The sequence below is a fragment of the Homo sapiens genome, chromosome 11, assembly GCF_000001405.40.
Source record: "Homo sapiens chromosome 11, GRCh38.p14 Primary Assembly".
Classification (NCBI taxonomy): Eukaryota; Metazoa; Chordata; class Mammalia; order Primates; family Hominidae; genus Homo; species Homo sapiens.
Genome location: NC_000011.10, coordinates 113,577,214 through 113,598,154, shown reverse-complemented (window position 1 = coordinate 113,598,154; position 20,941 = coordinate 113,577,214). Strand labels below are relative to the sequence as shown.

Genomic DNA, 20,941 nt, shown 5'->3' with positions numbered 1-20,941 from the left:
CTTATTTAATTTTTTTGAATATAGATTTGAGGCTTGAAGTTCTTTAGTACTTTAAAAATATTATGTACCTGTCTTTTTGCCTCTATTGTCATTGTTGAACAGAAGTTAGATATCAATCAGATTCTTATTCCTTCATGGGTAATCATCTCTTTTTCTTTAGCAGCTTTTAGAATTTTGACTTTGTGTTTTTAAATTTCCTTATAAAGTATCAAGGTTTTAAATCATATTTATCTTATTAGACATTCCATAAACTCTTTCAGTCTGAAGTCTTTCATCTTTCTTTAATACTAAAAAATCCTTGGTTATTTTTTCTTTGACACTTCTCTTTCTTCATTTTTTTCTTCAAAACTTCCTATTACACAGATGATGACACTTTTATTTTATTCTTCACAGCTTCTAATTCTGTTATATTTTCCAACTGTTTGTCTTTTCTCAGTGCCTTCTGGGAGAGTCCATCAACCTGGTCATCTGGCTCACTTATCCCAGCAGAATCCATTTTTAATATTTATGTCATTTATTGGATTCTTTATTTCAATTATTAAATTTTTGGCATCCAATGTTTCTGTTTGGTTCTTCTTTATAACTGCTTTATGTTACCATTATCTTTCCTTTTCCTTATTTATTACACTTATTTTAAATTATTAATCTGTGTGGTTTCATTAGTTCTAATTTATCTTCTATAGGTTGTACAGTTTGTTTTCTTTCTAACGGTGATGTTTCTCAGATGTCCGGTGGTTTTTGCTTGGGGGTTCATTTTCCCCTGGGGGCGGGTTATTAGCTTTTTGGCTTAAATTGTTACTGGGAAGGAGACCCTTGTTCCTAACTGACAAGCCCGATGAATGTGGAAGAGCGTGGGGAGAAGAGAGCTCCCAGGGGCTTGCTGGTGTCCTGCACCTGCTGTCTCCTGCTTTTTGGCTCAGTTTCAGTTGCTTCCTTGGCACTTCTCCTACTCCTTCTGTGGTGCCCGCTGGATCTGTTGTTTTCTCTATCCTGTAGGGGCTGATGGGGGCCACGATCCACCCAGGATAGTGTGGTGCACAAAGACAGCTCAGAGACCTTCCCCCAACAGTGGTGCCCGGTGCTTTGCTGCTCTGAGCTGCTCTTTCCTCCCCATCCTCAGATCAGAACCACCCTCTGTCTCCCTAGGGTTCCTCACAGTCTTAGGTTCTTCAAATCTGTACTTTTCCATTTACTTCTGAGGTATCCCCAGGGTTGGAATAGAGGATGAAACTTGCAATCCCCTTTGCAGCTCCACACCTCCACCTACTGCGCCGCCTTTTACTTCTGAGTCTTCTGCCCCACCCCCACCCCATCTCCAGGGAAACCTTCACATCTCAGTTACCTCTTCAGGCAACGAGGCTGCGTTTTCCCTGCTCTGCCTCATTAGTCACTGCTTCTTCTCCTACTTTCCGTCTTCAAAACAGTTCTAAAATTTCTAGTCTACTATTGACTCCTCTCTAGCTTATATTATCTAGATGTGTTTGCACACCTTTTTATTCTACTTCACTTTCATATTTGTAGGATTTTTATGAAGTAGACAAATAGGAGTATTTGGTCAACACACTATGTTTAAATAGAAGTTCTCCAGTGGGAAATATTTAGGCGACTAAACAAACTGATTCTCAAGTTCATCTGAAAGAAACAAATATGAAAGAATAGACAAGAAAATTTTGAAAAAGAGAAAGAGATTAACTTATTAAAACATACAATAGAGATATAGGAAATAAAACAGTATGGCATTGACACGAGGAAAATACATTATTAGACTAGAATATAGATCTGAGAAGGAGATGCACATAGATATTTAGTTCATGGACATGAGTAAGCATTTCAAGTCTGTAGGAACAGCTTTTCAATATCCATTGCTGGGACAACTAGCTGTCTGTTTGAAAATAAAATTAATGTGGACCACTGTTATGAGTTGAATTAAAAAAAAATCTACCTGTACATGTTGAAAAAGATATGAACCTGATATCTGTGAATGTGACTGTGATGGTTAATCTTATGTGTCAACTTGGTTAGGCTTTGTTACCCAGTTAGTTATTCAAACACCAGTGTAGGTGTTGCTGTGAAGGTATTTTGTAGGCGTGATTAACATTGCCATCAGTTGACTTTAAGTGTAACAGTTTACTGTCCATATGTGGGTGGGTCTCATCCAATCAGTTGAAGGTTTTAAGAGCAAACACTGAGATTTTTCTGGAAAAGAAGAATTCTGCCTCAAGAGTGTAACAGAGAAATCCTCCCTGAGTTTTCAGCCTGCCAATATGTCTACAGATTTTGGACTTAGGACTGCAACATCAGCTCTTACCTGCATTTCCAGTCTGCTAGATTTTGGACTTACCAGACCCCACAATTGCTTGAGCCAATTCCTTTCTCTTTCTCTCTCTCTCTAATATTTCTCTCTCTCTATGTAGAATATGATGAATGAAAATATCATATTATACACACACATACACACACATATATATACATATATAATTTCCCTCTTTTTATATATAGTGTTATATACCAATATACTATTGTTCTCTTTCTCTGGAGAACCCTGAGTGATACAGTGATTTGAGCCCAGATCTAGTATGCTTGGTGTTGTTTTAAGAAGAAGAAAACCACCATGCGATGACAGAGACACAGAAAAAATGACATGTGATGACAGGCAGAGATTGGAGACACAGCTGCAAGACAAGGAAACCAAGGATTGGTGGGCATCACCAGAAACCTAGGAAGATGCAAGGAAGAATTCTGCCCAGGGTCTCAGAGGGAGCACAGCTCTGCTGACACCTTCATTTTAGACTTCCAGCTTCCAGAACTGTGAGAGAATAAATCTGTGTTGTTTAATTCATCCAGTTTGTGGCACATTGTTATAGCATCCTTAGGAAACAAATATAACCCTTTATCTAATGCCACCCATAAAAATGCATTCCAGAGGGATTAAACATATTGAGTAACAATAAGAATAATATACAAAATTTTGATCACTAAATGCCAGGCAAAGTGCCGAGTGCTTTACACATTATCATTGTCTCTGTTTTGCAGATGAACAAACAGTCATGGAGCCAGCAAAAGGCAGCGTCAAGATTTGAACCCATGACACCTGAATTCAGACTCTGTAACAGAAAAAAAAAAAGTTGGCAAAGAAAGGGTTCTGCTACGAAAGATACAAAACCACAAGCCAAAAACAAAACAAAACAAAAAAACAAAAACAAGACGAAATCAATAGCTTACCTATGGGAACATTCAAACTATTGAGTATGACAAAAACATCAAAAATAAAGTTAAGAGACTGGGAGAAAATATTTTCAATATGCAGTCATCCCTTGGTATCCTTGAGGGAATTGTTCCAGGACCTCCCAAGGATACCAAAATCCATGGATGCTAAAGTCCCTGATATAAAATGGGGCAGTATTTGCATATAACCTATGTACATCCTCCAGTATACTTTAAATCATCTCTAGATTACTTCTAATACCTAATACAATGTAAATGGTATGTAAATAGCTATTAGACTGCATTGTTTAGGGAATAATGACAAGGGAGAAAAAGGCTGTGCACGTTCAGTACAAATGCATTATCTTCTGAAATGTTTTTGATCTGAAGTCAGTTGAATTCATGGATGTGGAACCCATGAATATGGAAGGCTGACTGTATCTGACAGACAAAGGAAATAGCTACTATAAATCAAACAAGAGAAATCAAATAACCTAAGAAACAATGACGAAGGGCATACTTAGATAATAAAGAGAATACAAGTACTGTGGGCAAAAAACATATGAAGTGATGTTGAGCCTCACTAATAATCAGGGAAATCCAAATCCAAATGACATGTCACTTTTGCTTTTTAATTTGGCAAAGAGTAACAGGGTTGATCGTGCTCAGTTTTAGAAGGGGTGCTCTCCCACACTTTAGTAGGAATATAACTTGGTAAAGGCTTTTTTGGTACTTGATTTCACAATGTGAATAAAAGTAAAAAATGCACATTCCCTTCAATCCAGCAATTCCCCCACCCCCACATACACACTAGATTTCTATATCAGTCAGGGCTTATGGTTGCAAAACCAGAAGTGGGTTCTGGCTAACTTAAGCAGAAAACAAATGTACTGGAAAAATATCTGGTAGTTGACAGGGTGGATGAAAAGGCTTGGAACCTTGGTTCCACAATCTTGCAGGAGCCAGTGGAAACCGGGGTGCTGAAGACCCAGCAAAGCTTATGCCTCAGGAGCGGTCAGATTTTTTGTGACCACTGACTCCGTCACCACTGGGACTGTGGCCACCACCACTTCCTCTCTGCTCTGTCATCACTACTGCTGCCACCAGTGATTTGTGTCTTTGAAACTTTGTCTGCAAATTCACAACGCAAGTTGAGTTCTGATTGGCCAAACCCTGGCAGCACATTCTGACCGCAGGACCAAGGGCAGACTGAGGGGACAGAGACTTCTTTTGGCTTTTAAAGTGGATGTGAGGGGCCTGCCACCCAGGTAGACTTCTGACTTACACCCCAAATTGGAAGGGTATTTGTATAAAGAGTAGCCAAAGCCAGTACACACCTATAAATGGATCCACTATTGTGGCTACCCAAGATTTATATACATTCTTCTCATATTTTCACTAACCCTCTCCCTGTCAAAAAATATCCTGTTACCATTATGAAACTATCCCACGTACAAAGTGAAGGACTCACCTTCTCTCTAAAGGGAGACAGCCCAGGGTCTTATCAATGACCACACCCAGACCTTGAGTCCTGTGCATCCCATCTCTAACTCTCGCAATTCCATTTCTATATTCTGTAAACTGTAATGATGTGCTGAAGCCGGCTCATACCAGAAATTCTGCGAACTGGCTATTAAACACAGCAATTGTTAACAATCAAATTATATATGCTTACAATGAAATAAATTATATTAAAAGCAAAAGTAGTAAATACTAAAAGCTCATCACTAATTATTTTACTACATTTTACCATTCTCTATGCTCTTGAGGTTATTAATATATATTGGATCTATATGGTGGAAATTCTGTATTATGATTTCTACTGAATACTTCATCTCAACTCTGTGTTTAGTGATGTCATGTTAATGGCAGGAAATTGGCCACAGTGGGAGTATTTTTGGAAAAATGGGCAAAAACACTACAAATCAAGGCTTGTTTGTTTCTTTTTCGGGATGATTGTCAGACTTAAGAAAATGATGGAGAAAATGTTAGTAATGGCGATTAAACTTAAAAATGCATTATGTCGGCCGGGAGCAGTGGCTTATGCCTGTAATCCCAGCACTTTGGGAGGCTGAGGCGGGCAGATCACCTGAGGTCAGGAGTTTGAGACCAGCCTGGCCAACATAGTGAAATCCCATCTCTACTAAAAGTACAAAAAATTAGCTGGATATGGTGGCAGGTGGTCGTAATCCCAGCTACTTGGGAGGCTGAGGCAGGAGAATCACTTGAACCCGGCAGGCAGAGATCGCGCCATTGCACTCCAGCCCTGGCAACAGTGCAAGACTCCATCTCAAAAAAAAAAAAAAAAAAAAAGCATTATGTCTATAGCTGTTACATTGTGGATAGCACAAAAATTACGAAAATAGTGTCTCGTATTTGAAAACTATTACCTAATTCAGCAATAAAATTTTTCATGCTGTTGACAAACAAGTGAAGTCTAAGATCTATCTTCATTGCTTTACTTCCATCTTATTCGTGAGAACTACGCTAACTCAACTGCAATCAGAGATTGGCTATGGATACAAAAGTTTGGCAAAAATCAATAAAAGCAGTCTGTGAGAATCAATTGGCTACATTAAAATCATAATAAAGAAGATTGTATATTATTATTTGTAAATTTGTGCAACACATTCTTTTTATCAATAAAATTGATAATAAACTTACATATGCTGACATTTTATTTTCTGGAAAGCTGGTTTGTAAAAATTTGCCAGTGCGCCGATGCCTATGAATTATAAAGTTCACCACTACTGCCACCACATCAATACAAATGAATATTCTCAATATAAATGAAAAACTTAAATCCCCAGATATAACATAGACAATGATCTTTTTGCAAAGTTAAAAGTAATTCATGCCGGTAATCCCAGCACTTTGGGAGGCCGACGTGGGCGGATCACGAGGTCAGGAGATCAAGACCATCCTGGCTAACATGGTGAAACCCCGTCTCTACCAAAAATACAAAAAATTAGCTGAGTGCGGTGGCACGTGGCTGTAGTCCCAGCTACTCGGGAGGGTGAGGCAGAAGAATTGCTTGAACCTGGGAGGCGGAGGTTGCAGTGAGACAAGATCGTGCCACTGCACCCTAACTTGGGCGACAGAGCAAAACGCTGTCTCAAAAAAAAATTTTTTTTTGAAAGAAGACATATATTAATGTCTATTTGCATCTTTTGCTTGTTTTTTAATTGGGGTTTTAAAAATTGCTGAGATGTAAGCGTTTTTTATGTACTCGGATACTAGACCTTTATCAGATTTGCAAATGTTTTCTCCCATTTTGGGTGCCTTTCCACTTTCTTGACTCCTTGACATTTTGCCTCACCCTCTTTGCAACCAGAGTGAGGCATCTCCCCGGAAGCAGATTAACTCTTTAGTATAAGTGTTAGGGCTCAGGGGGAAGACAACAGTCTCAGAAGAGAGGAAACAGTTAACCACCTGGTCTGAGGGAAGCAGCAGTACTCAAGTGGATGATAATTAATTAAACAAAAGTTCTGAATTCAATCAGAAGCCAATTTTGGCATCAGCAGACATTCAATTAGCTGTGATTACAGCCAGAGACTGGAAATGCTGTGCCCTGAGGCTCCCAGGCCCCAGCATGCTCAGGCTTAAGGGCCATGTCTGGAGTGGCTGGTGGGGCAGCAGCCTTTCCAGACAGCTCGTGCCCGGGGGTGCTGCAGCAGGGACAGCAGCAGTGCTGCAGGTTGTGTTTCAGCCCTGAAAAGCAGACCGCTTTCCCCTGCCCAAGCCTAGATAAGTCTCTGTGAGATCTGTGGCCAAGGCTTTCCTGTGGTTTAGCTAAGGAGCTCTTCTGCTAAATGGGATCCATCTATTTCCCTTGGGCAGATAGTGTGTTTTTGGTGCCTTCTAGGTTCTCCTGGGCAGGCTCAGGAGTTTCAGAGAGGACTCTTCCTAAGGACTCCTCTTGAAAACACTCAGAACAGAACAGAGCTGGAGGAAGGTGCATGCTGGAGACAGTCCTGAGTGGTTTGTGGGAGGTCCCTTTATTCTGGCATTGCTTCTGTGTTTTAGATGTGCACTCTGTACCATGGCATGTCATGGAGTAGAGGATGGTCACTGCTATATTCTCCATTTTATATACAAATAAACTGAGATTCGGGTTAAAGTCACATAAGTGCTAAATGGGGGACTTAGGGCTGTTTGACCAGATCCTGAGCTCTTTCCATAGAAAGCTTAGTTTTAGAATAAGGTTAATGAGCTAATGAGGCTCATGTAGGAATCATACCTGAAGCACAAAGTCCACTCACCAAAGATTAGTTCTTGTTCTTCTTCCTTGATCTACCTGATACTCCAATCCATACCCGAGCTTCTGCAAGTGAAGTCTGGTATTTCTCAGCCTGCGTAGAATACCTTCTTTTTGTCTTTCCCCCCCTACCCATTAGCCCACCTCACCCTGGCCCTTCTTCTCCCTGTATTAAAATGAAGTTTTTAAGAGTGGTTCAAAAGTTGCCTCCTCCAGGCGGCCTTCCCAGACAGCCCACCAAACTCTCCAGTTCCCCTTGCTGCCTGTCAGTCTTGCTATGGCTATTGCAAAGCTGTAAGATGAGTTTATTGCCTCTGTCGTATGCACTCCTCTGCACACCAAAATGTAAATATTCATAGTAGCATTATTCATAATAACTAAAAAGTGGAAACATTTCAAATGTCCATCAGCGGATGAATGGATAAACAAAATGTGGCATATCTGTACAATAAAATATACTAAAGCCATTAAAAGGAATGAAGCACTGATATACGTGTGGGGGCTTGTATTCCTACCACATTGACTGCCCCGAAAGCAGAGCCTGAGGCTTCTTAATCTGTGTCTCTCTTCTATTCCCAGCTGTACCTACCCATGGAGGCTGGGGACAAGAGCCAATCATCATGGAGCTTTCTACTGACTTGGCCACCTGCAAGACCCGCTGCAATATGGTGGGTACAGCAAGACAGGGATTCCTTCTAAAACAGAACTTTGATTCTGGAAGGTGTTTAGCAATTGTCTCTACAAAATAACTCAAGAAAGGGGAGCCCTGGATCAGCTCGAAAGGCTCAGAACCCATCTCCTCATGTGGGAAAGCCTCTTCATCATTTTCTCCTCACAGATAACAGTCTAGCCACAGGTGGGGGAAAAGGGACAAGAGTAGAAAGTTATAAGCCAGGTTGGAAATGGAGCCAGAGATGCGGAGGATGTCTCCTGGAGCTCTAGCTGGCGTGTGTCGGGGGAGGAGGGTCATCGGGTAGAATATAACTTTGCATACCTGTTCTTTACCTTGCTCCCTCCCTGCTTTCCTTTTTGTCTCTTGGTCATGATCCAGTTCAGATGGGACCCACACACAGCATGTGTGTGGAGGACTCATTGGACAGGAAGATTGACTACCTGAGCTCTGCTTCTTAGCTAACTCTTCTCACTTGAGTGTCCCTGGGCAAGGTTCCCAGCTGCTTAGGGCTTCAGTGCCCTCATCTGCAAAGTGTTAAAATGCAAGATCCTTCAGGGCATGTCATATATCCCTTCTGAACCCCACAACATTTAGTGCAGTGCCTGAACGTAGCAGGTGATCAGCATGTTCTCATTTCCTGCCATCATGCCTAAAACCTACATCACCTACCTGAATACCTAACGAGGCCATGAAGGTTAAAGATCTTAAACCCTAAAGTCTTATAAAACAGGAAGCTTTACAGTTGTCATGAATAGAGTTGTCAAGGAGAGATGATCCCTGCCCTGGGCAAACCATAGTCAAATATTGGCCTGCTTTTTACCTTCTTATACAGGTTGATGGCAGCTTTATTTGAGGCTGCCAAATATTGCAAACAACCCAAATGGCCATTGCCAGGTGAATGGATAAGCAAATTGTGACATATCCATGTAATGGAATGATGCTCAGTAATAACAAGGAACAAATTATTGATGCAGAGTAGGTGCTGTATAATTCCATTCATAAAGAATTGTACAAAATACAAATTAATCTATAGTGACAGAAAGCACATCAGTGGTGTTTTGAGGATGGGAGTGGAGGCAGGGATGGATTACAAAGGGGCACAGGATATTTTACGTATGATGAGGATGTTTGTTATCTTGATTGTGGTGATGGCTTTACTGGTACACACATATGTTGAAACTCATCACATTTTACACTTTAGCTACACTGAGGCTGGGTGTGGTGGCTCACACCTGTAATCCCAACACTTTGAGAGGCTGAGGTGGGTGGATCACTTGAGGTCAGGAGTTCGAGGCCAGCCTGGCCAACATGGTGAAACCCCGACTTTACTAATACTACAAAAATTAGCTTGGCGTGGTGGCATGCGCTTGTAGTCCTAGCTACTTGGGGGGCTGAGGTGAGAGGATCACTTGAACCCGGGAGGCGGAGATTGCAGTGAGCTGAGATCGTGCCACTATGCTCCAGCCTGAGCATCAGAGTCAGACTCTGTCTCAACGGAAAAAAAAAAAGAAATTAAAAAAAGGTACACCGTATTATACTTCAATAAAGCTTTTAAAAAAGAACAGGCTGAAATGGTTTTCCATTTTGGGATCTCTTTTCCCCTTCTTTTCTCCCCTTCTAGAGAAAGTTTCTGAGAGGTAGGCATGTGATTGTCCTTCTTTGGCATGAAGTGGGTGGGGAAAATCTGTCTTTGTTGAATTTCACTATTCTTCTTGCTGAAGTTTGTCCCAGCCTGACTGCAAGAAAACAAGCTTCTTTATAATTTACTGTTCTGTCTGTGCCTTCTCTTTTCCAAAGGTTTTGCTTGATGGCCCTGGTAGGTTTCTGGATGGAGAACAGTATTGTATGGTGGTTGCATCCTAAGCTAGTCTTGGATCCATCCTTTAGAACCACCTATTATCCATCACTCCATCTTCCACTTCTCCTGTACACCAGCCTGTCTCTACTCCACCACCTGCATCCCATCTGAGGTGGCCATCACAGAGAACATGGCATGATAATGATTATTTTCTCTAAAAATCAGAGACTAATCAAGATGAACCTCTACCCTCTTTACAGAGCTCTGAACTCTTTGGAGGGTGGGAACTGGGGAGGAGTAAATGACTATGACATTTCAAGGCTGTAGAGACCCCTCTGTCCACCCAGAGTCAGTTCTTGGGCCATAACAACTAAGTTCAACTTCATTTTGGGCCTTCTGAGTTTCTTCAGCCTCTAAGACCCCAAGTCTTCTCAGTCTGCTTCTTGATTTTTCTGTCATCTTTCTGAGTTTTCTAACCACACTTTCCTGTAAAGAGTAATAACACAACAGTTTCAATAGTCCTCAGCACTACAGAGACCTTGGGCGCCCTCTGAAAGCACTTGCAGAGATATGATCATGCTTACCGTCACACCAAGCTAAGAAGACACGAAGGGGGACCTCATTTAGTAGATGATGACAAAGAGGTGAGTCACTTGGGCAACATCATGTAAAAGAAACCAGCTGAATGTTTTGATCATTGGTGTCCCTGGCTGGGGCTTTATCCTCTAGTCTACCTGCTTTTGCTGCTGTGCATGTGGGCCTCAGAGATGGCAGGGAGCTGGCAGCATGGGCCTATGCTCCCAGACCCAAGTTGGTCTGAGCCAAGGTAAGATAGGCTGGAGGCGCCACTGCCTGGTTCAGCCTAGTACAACATTTGGTGCCTCAGGATAAACAACTTCTCCACTGCAAATACCATTTCATCTCCTAGGAGCTGACCCTGCACTCACCTTAAACAGGGAGGCTGGCCTTCTGTATTTATTCCTGTAGACCTCCCTTCCTCTTCACCCCCATGCAACCCCCTCAGGAGCACTGGAGCTTTCTGGGTAAAGGGGAGGAAATAATAAATAAATAACTTGTAGTAGCAGCTGCATCTGATCTGTGCATGTGAGCGTCCCAGCTGGTCTCTCCATCATGCCAGACCTTCAACAAGTCCTTCTCCATAGAAGAGCACCGTGTTAGTTTGCTAGGGCTACTATAACAAAATACCACAGACTGGGTGGTTTAAAAGCAGAAATTTATTTGCTCATAGTTCTGGAGGCTAGAAGTCAAAGATCATAATGTTGTCAGGTTTAGTTTCTTCTGAGGCCTCTGTCCTTGGCTTGCAGATGGTCACTTTCTTGGTGTATGCCCAACTGGTCATCTCTCTATGGGTGCATGTGTCTAGTGTCTTTCTCTACCTGTAATATATACCCCTAATCTCTCTCTCTCTCTTTTTTTTTTTTTTCAAGATGGAGCCTCTCTCTGTTGCCCAGGCTGGAGTGCAGTGGCGCCATCTTGGCTTCAGTGGACCCGGAGAGAAGGCCAGACTGGCCGGAATGGCTGATAAGGGAGGTAAGTGGTGACAGAGCAGGCTCCATGCATTTTGCTTAGAGAATACACCCCATGAGAGTACCTTCTTCAGAAAATAACCATTGGGGGTGATCTTTAGAGACTTGAAACCTCCTGGGAAGAACCATGGTCTGACCCAATATGCCATCCCTTCTAGGCCTAGGTTGTGGTAGATTGGAAAGCAAGATGGAAGGGCATAGGTAAGTAAATAAACTTTGGAACAAGACCAGCCTGGGTTTGAATCTCAGCTCTGCTGTTTACTAGCTATGCATTTCAGGGCAAATGATATAATTTTAAGGCAAATGATACAATTTGCCTTAAAATACATAGTTTTACTGGTCAGATTCATCACCAGTAAAACTGCCATAATAATACATTTCTCCCAGAGTTGATGTGAGAAATACATTAGATAATGTATATAACACACTCAGCATAGTTCCTGGTAAGTTATATATCCGCATTACATAGTTATTTCATATTATTATTATTATTATTGGTTCACAGCAAATATGGTGTGTATTAGTCAGGGTTCTCTTAGAAGGACAGAACTAACAGGATATACATATATATATATGATATATATGGGATATATATATACCATATCCCAGGCTGTCTGCAGGCTGAGGAGCAAGGAGAGCCAGTCCGAATCCCAAAACTGAAGAACTTGGAGTCTGATGTTCAAGAGCAGGAAGAATCCAGCATGGGAGAAAGATGTAGGAGAGGCTAGGCCCATCTGCCTTTTTTCACCTTTTTTTTGCCTGCTTTATATTTGCTGGAAGCTGATTAGATTGTGCCCACTAGATTAAGGGTGGATCTACCTTGCCCATCTCACTGACTCAAATGTTAATCTCTTTTGGCAGCACCCACAAAGACACACCCAGGATTAATACTTTGTATCTCTCAATCCAATCAAGTTGACATCACAAGTCCACCCCTTGTCAACTTGAACCCCTACACATCTCCTGAGATCATATATAATCTTCAAATAAAGACAATAATAAGGTCATAATTACACTAACATAATACAACTATCCTTCATACAACCAGAAATGCACCAATCCCCAACCCAAATACTATTACATAAAGTTAACAATACTTAAATGTTGACGTGAAGTCAATAAATCTTATATCACATGATAGAGGAAAAGGAAATAAAATGAAGATATTTTCTAGTACTAGTGTATACATTCTTTTGTTTTTAACAAAAGAAGGAGGAAATACTCATGACAGTTACAGTCCTCATTTCTGCAGCTGATCACGTGGTCATAGCTGGTATTGATGCCTACCTTCTTTTACTACCCATTCTAGGTTACCTTTGCCTTCAGCAAGCACTTCAGCAGGTTGTGTTTTTTTTTTTTTTTTTTTCCCTGGTGGAGTGACCCAAACCTTCATTCCTGAAAGGTGTGGGTCATTTGTAGTCCTGCCTGGATTAGGCTATTGTAGTTTCCCATTGACCTTAATCACAGGGCATGGTAATACTAAGAGACGCCCTAGTGGATCTCCTATATTCCATACTTACTCTTTCTTATCTCCGTTGTAGAGTAGTAGACTGATTTCGTCTTGATAGTCCGGGTCAATCACCCCAGCCAACACCGTAACTCCCTTCTTAGCATGTTGACTTAAAGATAGGAGAAGCCCAAAGTGTCCAGGTGGCAATCTTAACTTGCAGTTTAATGGAATCATTGTTGTGTCTCCTGGTGGCAGTGTTCCTCCCTCTGGAACTAAGACCTCTAGGCCAGCAGAACGTAATGTAGTGGGAACAGGGAAGCAAAAATTTTGCTACTGGATCACTAGGGGTGATGGTGAGTGTGCCATTTTCACTTCCACCCCTTGATTCCCAGACAGGTGAATGCTGGCTGTTGGAGAAAGAGTACCATATATTGGACTCTGATTCAAAGCATACACAGCCTTCTAGAGAAGTTTGCCCCAGTCCTGCAAAGTATTGTCACCTAGTTGGTGTTGTAATTGTGACTTCAAAAGGCCATTTCACTGTTCCATCAATCCAGCTGCTTCAGGATGGTGGGGAACATGATAAGACCAGTAAATTCCATGAGCATGAGCCCACTGCCGCACTTCTTTAAGCATAAAGTGAGTGCCTTGGTCAGAGGAATGCGGTGTGGAATACCATGACGGTGGATAAGGCATTCTGTGAGTCCATGATGGTAGTCTTGGCAGAAGCACCGCGTGCAGGATAGGCAAACCCATATCCGGAGTAAGTGTCTATTCCAGTGAGGACAACCTCTGCCCTTTCCATGATGGAAGTGGTCTAATATAATCACCATGCCACCAGGTAGCATGCTGATCACCCTGAGGAATGCTGCCATATCGAGGGCTCAGTGTTGGTCTCTGCTGCTGGCAAATTGGGCACTCAGCAGTGTCTGTAGCTAGGTCAGCCTTGGTGAGTGGAAGTCTATGTTGCCAAGCCCATGCGTAACCTCCATCCCTGCCACCATGGGCCCATTGGGCAATGACAGGAGTGGCTGGGGAAAGAGGCTGAGTGGTGTCCACAGAATGGGTCATCCTATCCACTTGATCATTAAACTTCTCCTCCACTGAGGTCACGCATTGGTGAGCACTCACATGGGATACAAATATCTTCACAGTTTTTTTTTTTTTCCACTCAGAGGCATCCGTCCACATACCTCTTTCTCAAATGTCTTTGTCACCAATTTTCCCATCATGCTTCTTCCAAGTTCCTGACCATCCAGCCAAACCATTGGCTATACTCCATGAATCAGTATATAATTGCACATCTGGCCATTTCTCCTTCCATGCAAAGTGCACAGCCAGGTGCACTGTTTGAAGTTCTGCCCACTAGGAAGATTTCCCTTCACTGCTGTCCTTCAGGGATGTCCTAGAAAGCGGCTGTAGTGGTGCAGCAGTCCACTTTCGGGTGGTGCCTGCACATCGTGCAGAGCCATCTGTGAACCAGGCCCTAGTCTCCTCATCCTCTCTCACCTGATCATAGGGGACTCCCCGTGAGGCCATCAATGCAGGCTGGGGGAGAGAAGGAAGGGTGGCGGGAGTGCAGACCATGGACATTTGAGCCGCTTCCTCATGTAACTTACTTGTGCCTTCACGGCCTGCTTGAGCCCCATTACATATACACCACTTCCATTTGATGGTGGAATGCTGCTGTGCACAACCCACTTTATGGCTTGATGACTCAGAAAGCACCCAGTTTGTGATAGGCAGTTCAGGTCGCATGGTGACTTGATGACCCACAGTCAAATGTTCAGTTTCCACCAAAGCCCAGTGACAGGCCAAGAGCTGTCTCTCAAAAGGAGAATAGTTATCTGCAGAAGATGGCAGGGCCTTGCTCCAAAGTCCTAGAGGCCTCTACTGTGATTCATCTAGAGGGGCCTGCCAAAGGCTCCAGATAGCATCCCTATCTACTACTGGCACCTCAAGCACCATTGGATCTGCTGGGTCGTATGGCCCAAGTGGCAGAGCAGCTTGCACAGCAGCCTGGACCTGTTGCAGAGCCTTCTCCTGTTCTGGACCCCACTCAAAACTGGCAGCCTTTCGGGTCACTTGATAAATGGGCTGGAGTAACACACCCACATGAGGAATGTGTTGCCTCCAAAATCCAAATAGGCCCACTAGGCATCGTGCCTCTTTCTTGGTTGTAGGCGGGGCCAAATGCAGCAACTTATCCTTCACCTTAGAAGGAATATCTTGGCAGGCCCCATACCACAGGACCCCTAGAAATTTTACTGAGGTAGAAGTTCCCTGAATTTTAGTCAGATTTATTTCCCAACCTCTGGCACACAGATAGCCAAGGACTATCAGTGTTCTCCATACTATTAGAAGTAGAGTCCTTAGCATTTTGGGGCCTAATCATATTAAGCAGCCAACTCCAGAAACCCCAAAACCAATGAAAGAACTCCATCCTTAATATACTGTTCCTCTAGAACCACTCCTGGTACCAAAATCTATATTAGTCAGGGTTCTCTTAGAGGGACAGAACTAACAGTGTGTGTGTATATATATATACACACACACATATATATACATATATACACACACACACACACACACACACACACACACACTAAGGTCACTAAGGGTGTTGGCCATGGGAATGCTGCATATAGAGGGAATCTGGAGTGTAGCAAGACATAAACAAGATCCCAAGTGGACTATGTGGAAACAAGTGCATGGGATGGCTGTGTAGGTTGAAGTAGGGGTAGATCAGGAGGGAAGAGGACTTGAAGCCAGGGTTTCAGGAACAGGGACTGGCTAGCCTGAAGTGAAAGTGCATTCCCCAAATATTAGTGTGTATATATATATACACACACACTAATAGTATATATTAGTATTCGTGGTTATATATATAGACATATATATATATATAATTATTAAGTATTAACTTACACGATCACAAGGTTCCACAGTAGGCTGTCTGCAAGCTGAAAGCCAGTCTGAGTCCCAAAACTGAAGAACCCAGAGTCTGATGTTCGAGGGAAGGAAGCATTCAGCATAGGAGAAAGATGTAGGCTGAGAGGCTGGGCCCATCTTTCTTTTTTCAGGTTTTTGTGCCTGCTTTATATTTGCTGGAAGCTGATTATATTGTGCCCACCAGATTAAGGGTGAATTTGCCTTCCCCAGCGCACTGACTCAAATGTTAATCTCTTTTGGCAACACCCACAAAGACACACCCAGGATTAATACATTGTGTCCCTCAATCCAATCAAGTTGACACTCAGTATTAACCATCACATGGTGGAAAGAGAAGACTGTCCGATTTAGCTGGAGCGATTGTGTAACACTTGCTCTCTGGTTTGGCCTGTCCCTGAGACATTTCAGGCTTCCATGAAGCTGCAATCTAAAGTCTGTCAAGTAGCAACATGGTTATTTGGCTAATGAATGCTCTAAGAAAGAGCTGAGAAGTTGAGATAGGCAATCAAGAATAGGAGGCTTTCCTAACTAATGCAAATAAATACTGAGTGATTGAAATATAACTAAAATTTTTACCACAATATTTATGGAGATCTTTTATTCCTTGGTAGAGTTAGACTTAAGCACAAATGACTTCAGAGGAACCATTGGGGGAATATTAAATGTTCTAACTAATTAATTAATGCAATTAATTCTAATTATGCAATTAACATCCACTAAGCTACAGAAGCTATAGCTTGGCGGGGGGTGTGGGGGGAAGAGAGAGAGAGAGAGAGAGAGAAAAAAAAAAACGAAAAACAACAAAAACCAACCAAAACAATTAATGTGGTAGGCACTGCTGCCATTTCTTATTTCCTTAATGGAGTCGGCTATTTATACAAAGTAATTAAATGTTACTATTAATAAATGGCCTTCTTGCATAAGGGAAAACTAGTTCTGAAAAATGTTAGAAACCGTGGCCATCAGTACATCTTTGGGGTCTTATTTGTGTCTCTGAAAAGAGGAGTTTCATTGCTAAATCACTACATAGAGAATAAAAAAATTGATCTCTTTCTGTGTTGAGTAGCTTAGTATCCCCATGTCCATCTCTGACCTGAGTTTGGAGAGTGGCAGTGACTGTCTTGCTGGGGAACAGCAAACTACTGAGCAACACAGGTCTGCTGCCCTGGAGCTGGTGAGAAACCTAGACAGAGCACCCAAAGACATTGGTGATAGCAGAAAGAGGCAGACCCTCCTAATTCCAGCATGGAATTCAGTTATGGATTAAAAGGGGAGAGGGTGGGTGGGAAGAAGGTTGTTAACAGGCAAACACCAAGCCCCAAAGCAAAAGGACAACACTGCACTAAAATTGCTACTAAAACTCCCTTTGGAACATATAAACTGGGGGAATGTGGGATAAACAGGGGCCTATCAAGGTCTGTGGCTCATGAGTGCCATGAAGCCTCAGACCCCTCCTAGTTCTCCTGGCTCCTAGTTGTGTCTCTGCCTCAGGCTGTTGTCCTTTTACCCTTCTTGAGCTGACCTTGCACATCTTTTAAGCCTTGAGAAAAAGGGAGGAAACAGGACAAGGAAGCAAGCTGTCCCTGCCTCTCATACAGATGTTCCCTTCTTTACGAAGGCTATGTCCTCAGTGAGGCTGAGGTTCCCCAGGCTCCAGAAACCCATGGAACAGGAAGTCCCTTACACTCTGGAGGGTCATGGTCTCAGGTTAACCACCTGTCAACCTAGATGACCTACAGCTTGAGAGGGACAGCAGTCTGAGGAAGGGTGCTACCATCAAGATGCCCAGCAATCTGAGATTTTGGGAGGCCAATTCCTGCACTTATATGTTGGAAAGTGACATATCTTAGAGGTAAGAACACAGATTTTAATTCAAACTCTTCCTGGGTTTGAATCCTGCGGGTCGAATTCCTTAAACTCTCTGAGGTACAGTTTCTTCGTTCGTAAGGTGGAGATAACAACATCCCCTTCCAGGACTGTGGGAGGAGGTAATGGAATAATCTAGATGCAATGCCTGGCTCAGGTTAAGTGCTCCACATAGAGTGTCTATTGCTACTGTTATTCATCTCATCTACCTGGCATCTTGTATCACATCTGGCACACAATAAACTGTCCAGATACGTTTGTTCACCTGCTACTGGGGTCCAGGGCTGATCATGGGAGAAGGGTGTTGGGGACATGGGCATCAGGATAATGGGGAAGAAGCCAGGCTCCTTGCACAGCTGAGAGGTCCATCCCTGCCTGAAGCTACCAGCTGGGTGGAGCTGGCTGTCTTAATGGATCCGTATGTAATCTCCACTGAGAAAAGAGAACAGTATGGCAGGAAGAGAGTATACAACATCTTGATTTCAGGTCAAGGTTTCTACTCAGCACATTGCCCATGGTGTGGCTTTAAGATGCATAACGCCTTGAACCTGACTGAAGTCTGGCCTCTCCAGTTGTTCATCTGACCCCTTCTGGACAGGGCACCTGATTGTGAGGCCGACTACTTTAATTCGAGGCCTCTCGAGGATCTCCAGTGACTCTTCCCAGAATAGTTTAGAGCCACATGCTCTCTGTGTCATGCAGTTCTCCCTCAGCTCAGACAGAACGTTCAGTGCTGCAGACCCTTGCAGAGTGTGTTCGAGGCAGCCCCGGGCCCTGTGTGCAGCCTCTGGGATGTGCTCCTGAACCTTCCTCAGCCTTCCTTCCTGGGCTGTCCTGGCGTGTTCTGTGGAGTGTGAGAAGTCTGCTAAGGCTGTGATGTGAGTTCTTTAAACTTCACTTTTGAAACGAGGACATGAAGTTACCTGGAACTTCAGGCTCCCAGCTTGCTGAGCTCTGCAGCTCTCTGTGGGACTGGCTGCTGCCGTCAGAAAGAATAGAGCCGTCACTCTGCAGGAGGGTTTCTATGATAATAGGGCTTTTGCCTCCCAGTAATTGGAAAGGTGCTAATCTAGTGACTCATGAGATACATAGAAGGAAAAAATCCCACCCTGAAAATGAAACTGCATTGTGTTTTCTGAGTGCTTCATCTCCTTATTTCCACGGGAAGGGCAAGCTGAGGTTTAGGTGTATGGAGCAGGGTCCTGGTGTCCTGGCAGCACTGCTGGAGTGACCATTTTCCTCTGCCTTTCCTCCAAGTAGTCCAGCGATGCAGAAAGCAGGGAGGGCTGAACACCAGCCAGATGTCTGGGGCAACAAACCCAGCCTGAAGCCGTGGGGAAGGGGAGCTGGCCTGTGAAAGATGTGCAGAGGAGACAGTCATTACCAAATTAGTGATAGCCCCTCCTAAGACAGATTGGTGAGCCTGCAAGTGTGAGTGCACAGGTGTGCGTGTGTGTGCCTACATGCATTTGAGTTTGGGTGTATGTGTGCATGTGGGTGGATTAGCTGTGTGGGCATGTAGTGAGTGTGTGAGAGCCTGTATATATGTGTGTGTGTGTGCACACAATCCTGCAGATGTGCCCTGACCTGAATGTTGCTTCTCTTTTTTCTTTTGGCTTGGGCTGCAAATATTTTTGCTTTTTCCATCCACGTTGTATCCTTTGAGCTTTAGGGACCTGAGCTGAGTCCTGAAATCTGGCTGTCTATGGACAGGTGCCTGGGGTAGAAGACTGAGCTTGCTACCTACCAGAGGGCAGGTAGAGTTTCAGCTGGGCCCCCTGTTGGAGAAATGCAACCCCTTTATCTGCCCCTAAAGGGGCAGAGGACTGGGGTCTGCTTCTGCCTGAGGGTACTGGGGACTGCCCAATACCTGGACTGCTCTCCAGGGGCTCAGGGATGAAGCAGCCCCTCTATATCTTCCTGCATTCTTTCTGTCACCCTTCTGTGCTCCCTTTGCTGGAGGAAGTCCCCGTCCAACTTCTAATTCCTGTTTTCTTCCCATCGGATCACACTTCCTGACCTTGGGAACCCCTGACCTTGGGGTACCCCCAGGACTTCTGGAGCCCAGAAAGGCAGAGTCCTTCCAGTCACAGCCCTCCCCTAGTCTCCATCTGTCCATCTGGCAGCTCCTAGAGTGAGTCATAGTGCCCCCCAGGCTCTCCTCTCCTCCCCCTCCCACTCCCTTCATTAGCTTCATTGAAGCTAATAGTCCTGCTGGCAATTCCATTGTCTCCTCTTAATTCCAATTTCCTTTTGTCTCAAGGGGCAAATCAGCAGTGAAAGTAGTGAAGTGGCAGGCGCAGCCTCTAGGTATATTAATTAGGAGAGCATTAGTGAGGTAATAAAAATGCACCTTCAGTATCAGGGTGCTGCACCCTCCTCTCTCCCCCCTTTTCCCTTCTCAGCCCCAGCCAGAACAGGAAGAGCAGACTCAAGCCAGAAACAGGTAGTGGCTGAGGGGTGGAGCATCCCTGGGTCCCTACAGGCTGCCCGCAGAGGTGCCTGGCTGACGGCCAGATGCTCAAGGAGAAATGTGCCCTGCCACCCCACTGTGGTTCAGCTCCACTTGCTCCCTCACCTTTTCAGCATGTCAGTCACCAAGTCTCATAAATTAACCTCCTGATTATGTGTCAACTTCTTCCCCAGCTCTCCCTCCATATGATCATTGCCTGAGTCCACACCACCATCGGCTCCCACCTAGGTGATTGTGGTGGCTTCTGAATGGGCTCTCTGTGCCCAGCCTTGCCCTCGTCAGATCCTGTCTCTACCCTACAAGCAGATGCAGCACTTGCTGTTTCTTTTGAGCACCCATCCAGAGTGGGCACCATGCATCCATCCCATGCACATCTTCTGGGTACAGTCCCTGCCCCCTTGTCACCTGCTGAGCTCCTGCTCCCTGTCTTGTTTCTTGGACCTCTGCTTCTCCAGGAAGCCTTCTCTGACCTGCCGGACTGGGCTGGGTGAGCCTTCTGTGTTCTCACAGCAGCGTGGGCTGATCCCTAACAGCACATTGGTTATGCTGGATTACAGCTGCCTTGGCTGGTCTGGCTTTCCTGCCATGAGAATGAAGGCTTTGGGAATTGAGGGGGAAGAGGAGATGATAATGAATCATGCCATCTAGCTGTGAGTTTTGAGTTGGGAGATAAGCACAGAGTTGGATAGGGCCACCGTGCCATGCCAGTTTTATTATTAA

At 43.9% G+C, this 20,941-nt stretch overlaps 1 long non-coding RNA gene across 2 annotated transcripts in view, besides 4 other annotated features; it reads left to right on the top strand.

Annotated features, from left to right (window-relative positions):
* Positions 1-11,755, top strand: part of LOC107984390 (uncharacterized) — a 100,111-nt gene extending 88,356 nt beyond the window's left edge. The window contains exons 2-3 of one of the 2 annotated variants that reach the window (XR_001748391.2): positions 8,042-8,130; positions 11,382-11,755. This is a non-coding gene — a long non-coding RNA (uncharacterized LOC107984390). Of the gene's footprint in view, positions 1-8,041; positions 8,131-10,452; positions 10,575-11,381 lie in introns of those variants that run through there. The other variant, XR_001748390.2, reaches the window with a different exon arrangement.
* Positions 4,161-4,280: a silencer, noted in NCBI's record as "silent region_3910". NCBI's record gives its function as "represses an Ori minimal core promoter by ATAC-STARR-seq in GM12878 lymphoblastoid cells {active_cell/tissue: GM12878}" and the evidence as "EXISTENCE:reporter gene assay evidence [ECO:0000049][PMID:35858748]".
* Positions 10,602-10,651: an enhancer, noted in NCBI's record as "active region_5540". NCBI's record gives its function as "activates an Ori minimal core promoter by ATAC-STARR-seq in GM12878 lymphoblastoid cells {active_cell/tissue: GM12878}" and the evidence as "EXISTENCE:reporter gene assay evidence [ECO:0000049][PMID:35858748]".
* Positions 12,934-13,228: a silencer, noted in NCBI's record as "tiled region #5622; HepG2 Repressive non-DNase unmatched - State 24:Quies, and K562 Repressive DNase matched - State 13:Ctcf". NCBI's record gives its function as "represses a minimal TATA promoter and a strong SV40 promoter by Sharpr-MPRA in HepG2 and K562 cells {active_cell/tissue: HepG2 | K562}" and the evidence as "EXISTENCE:reporter gene assay evidence [ECO:0000049][PMID:27701403]".
* Positions 19,719-20,271: an enhancer, noted in NCBI's record as "NANOG-H3K4me1 hESC enhancer chr11:113448606-113449158 (GRCh37/hg19 assembly coordinates)". NCBI's record gives its function as "activates a minimal SCP1, AML or CMV promoter by ChIP-STARR-seq in naive H9 embryonic stem cells {active_cell/tissue: H9 hESC(naive)}" and the evidence as "EXISTENCE:reporter gene assay evidence [ECO:0000049][PMID:30033119]".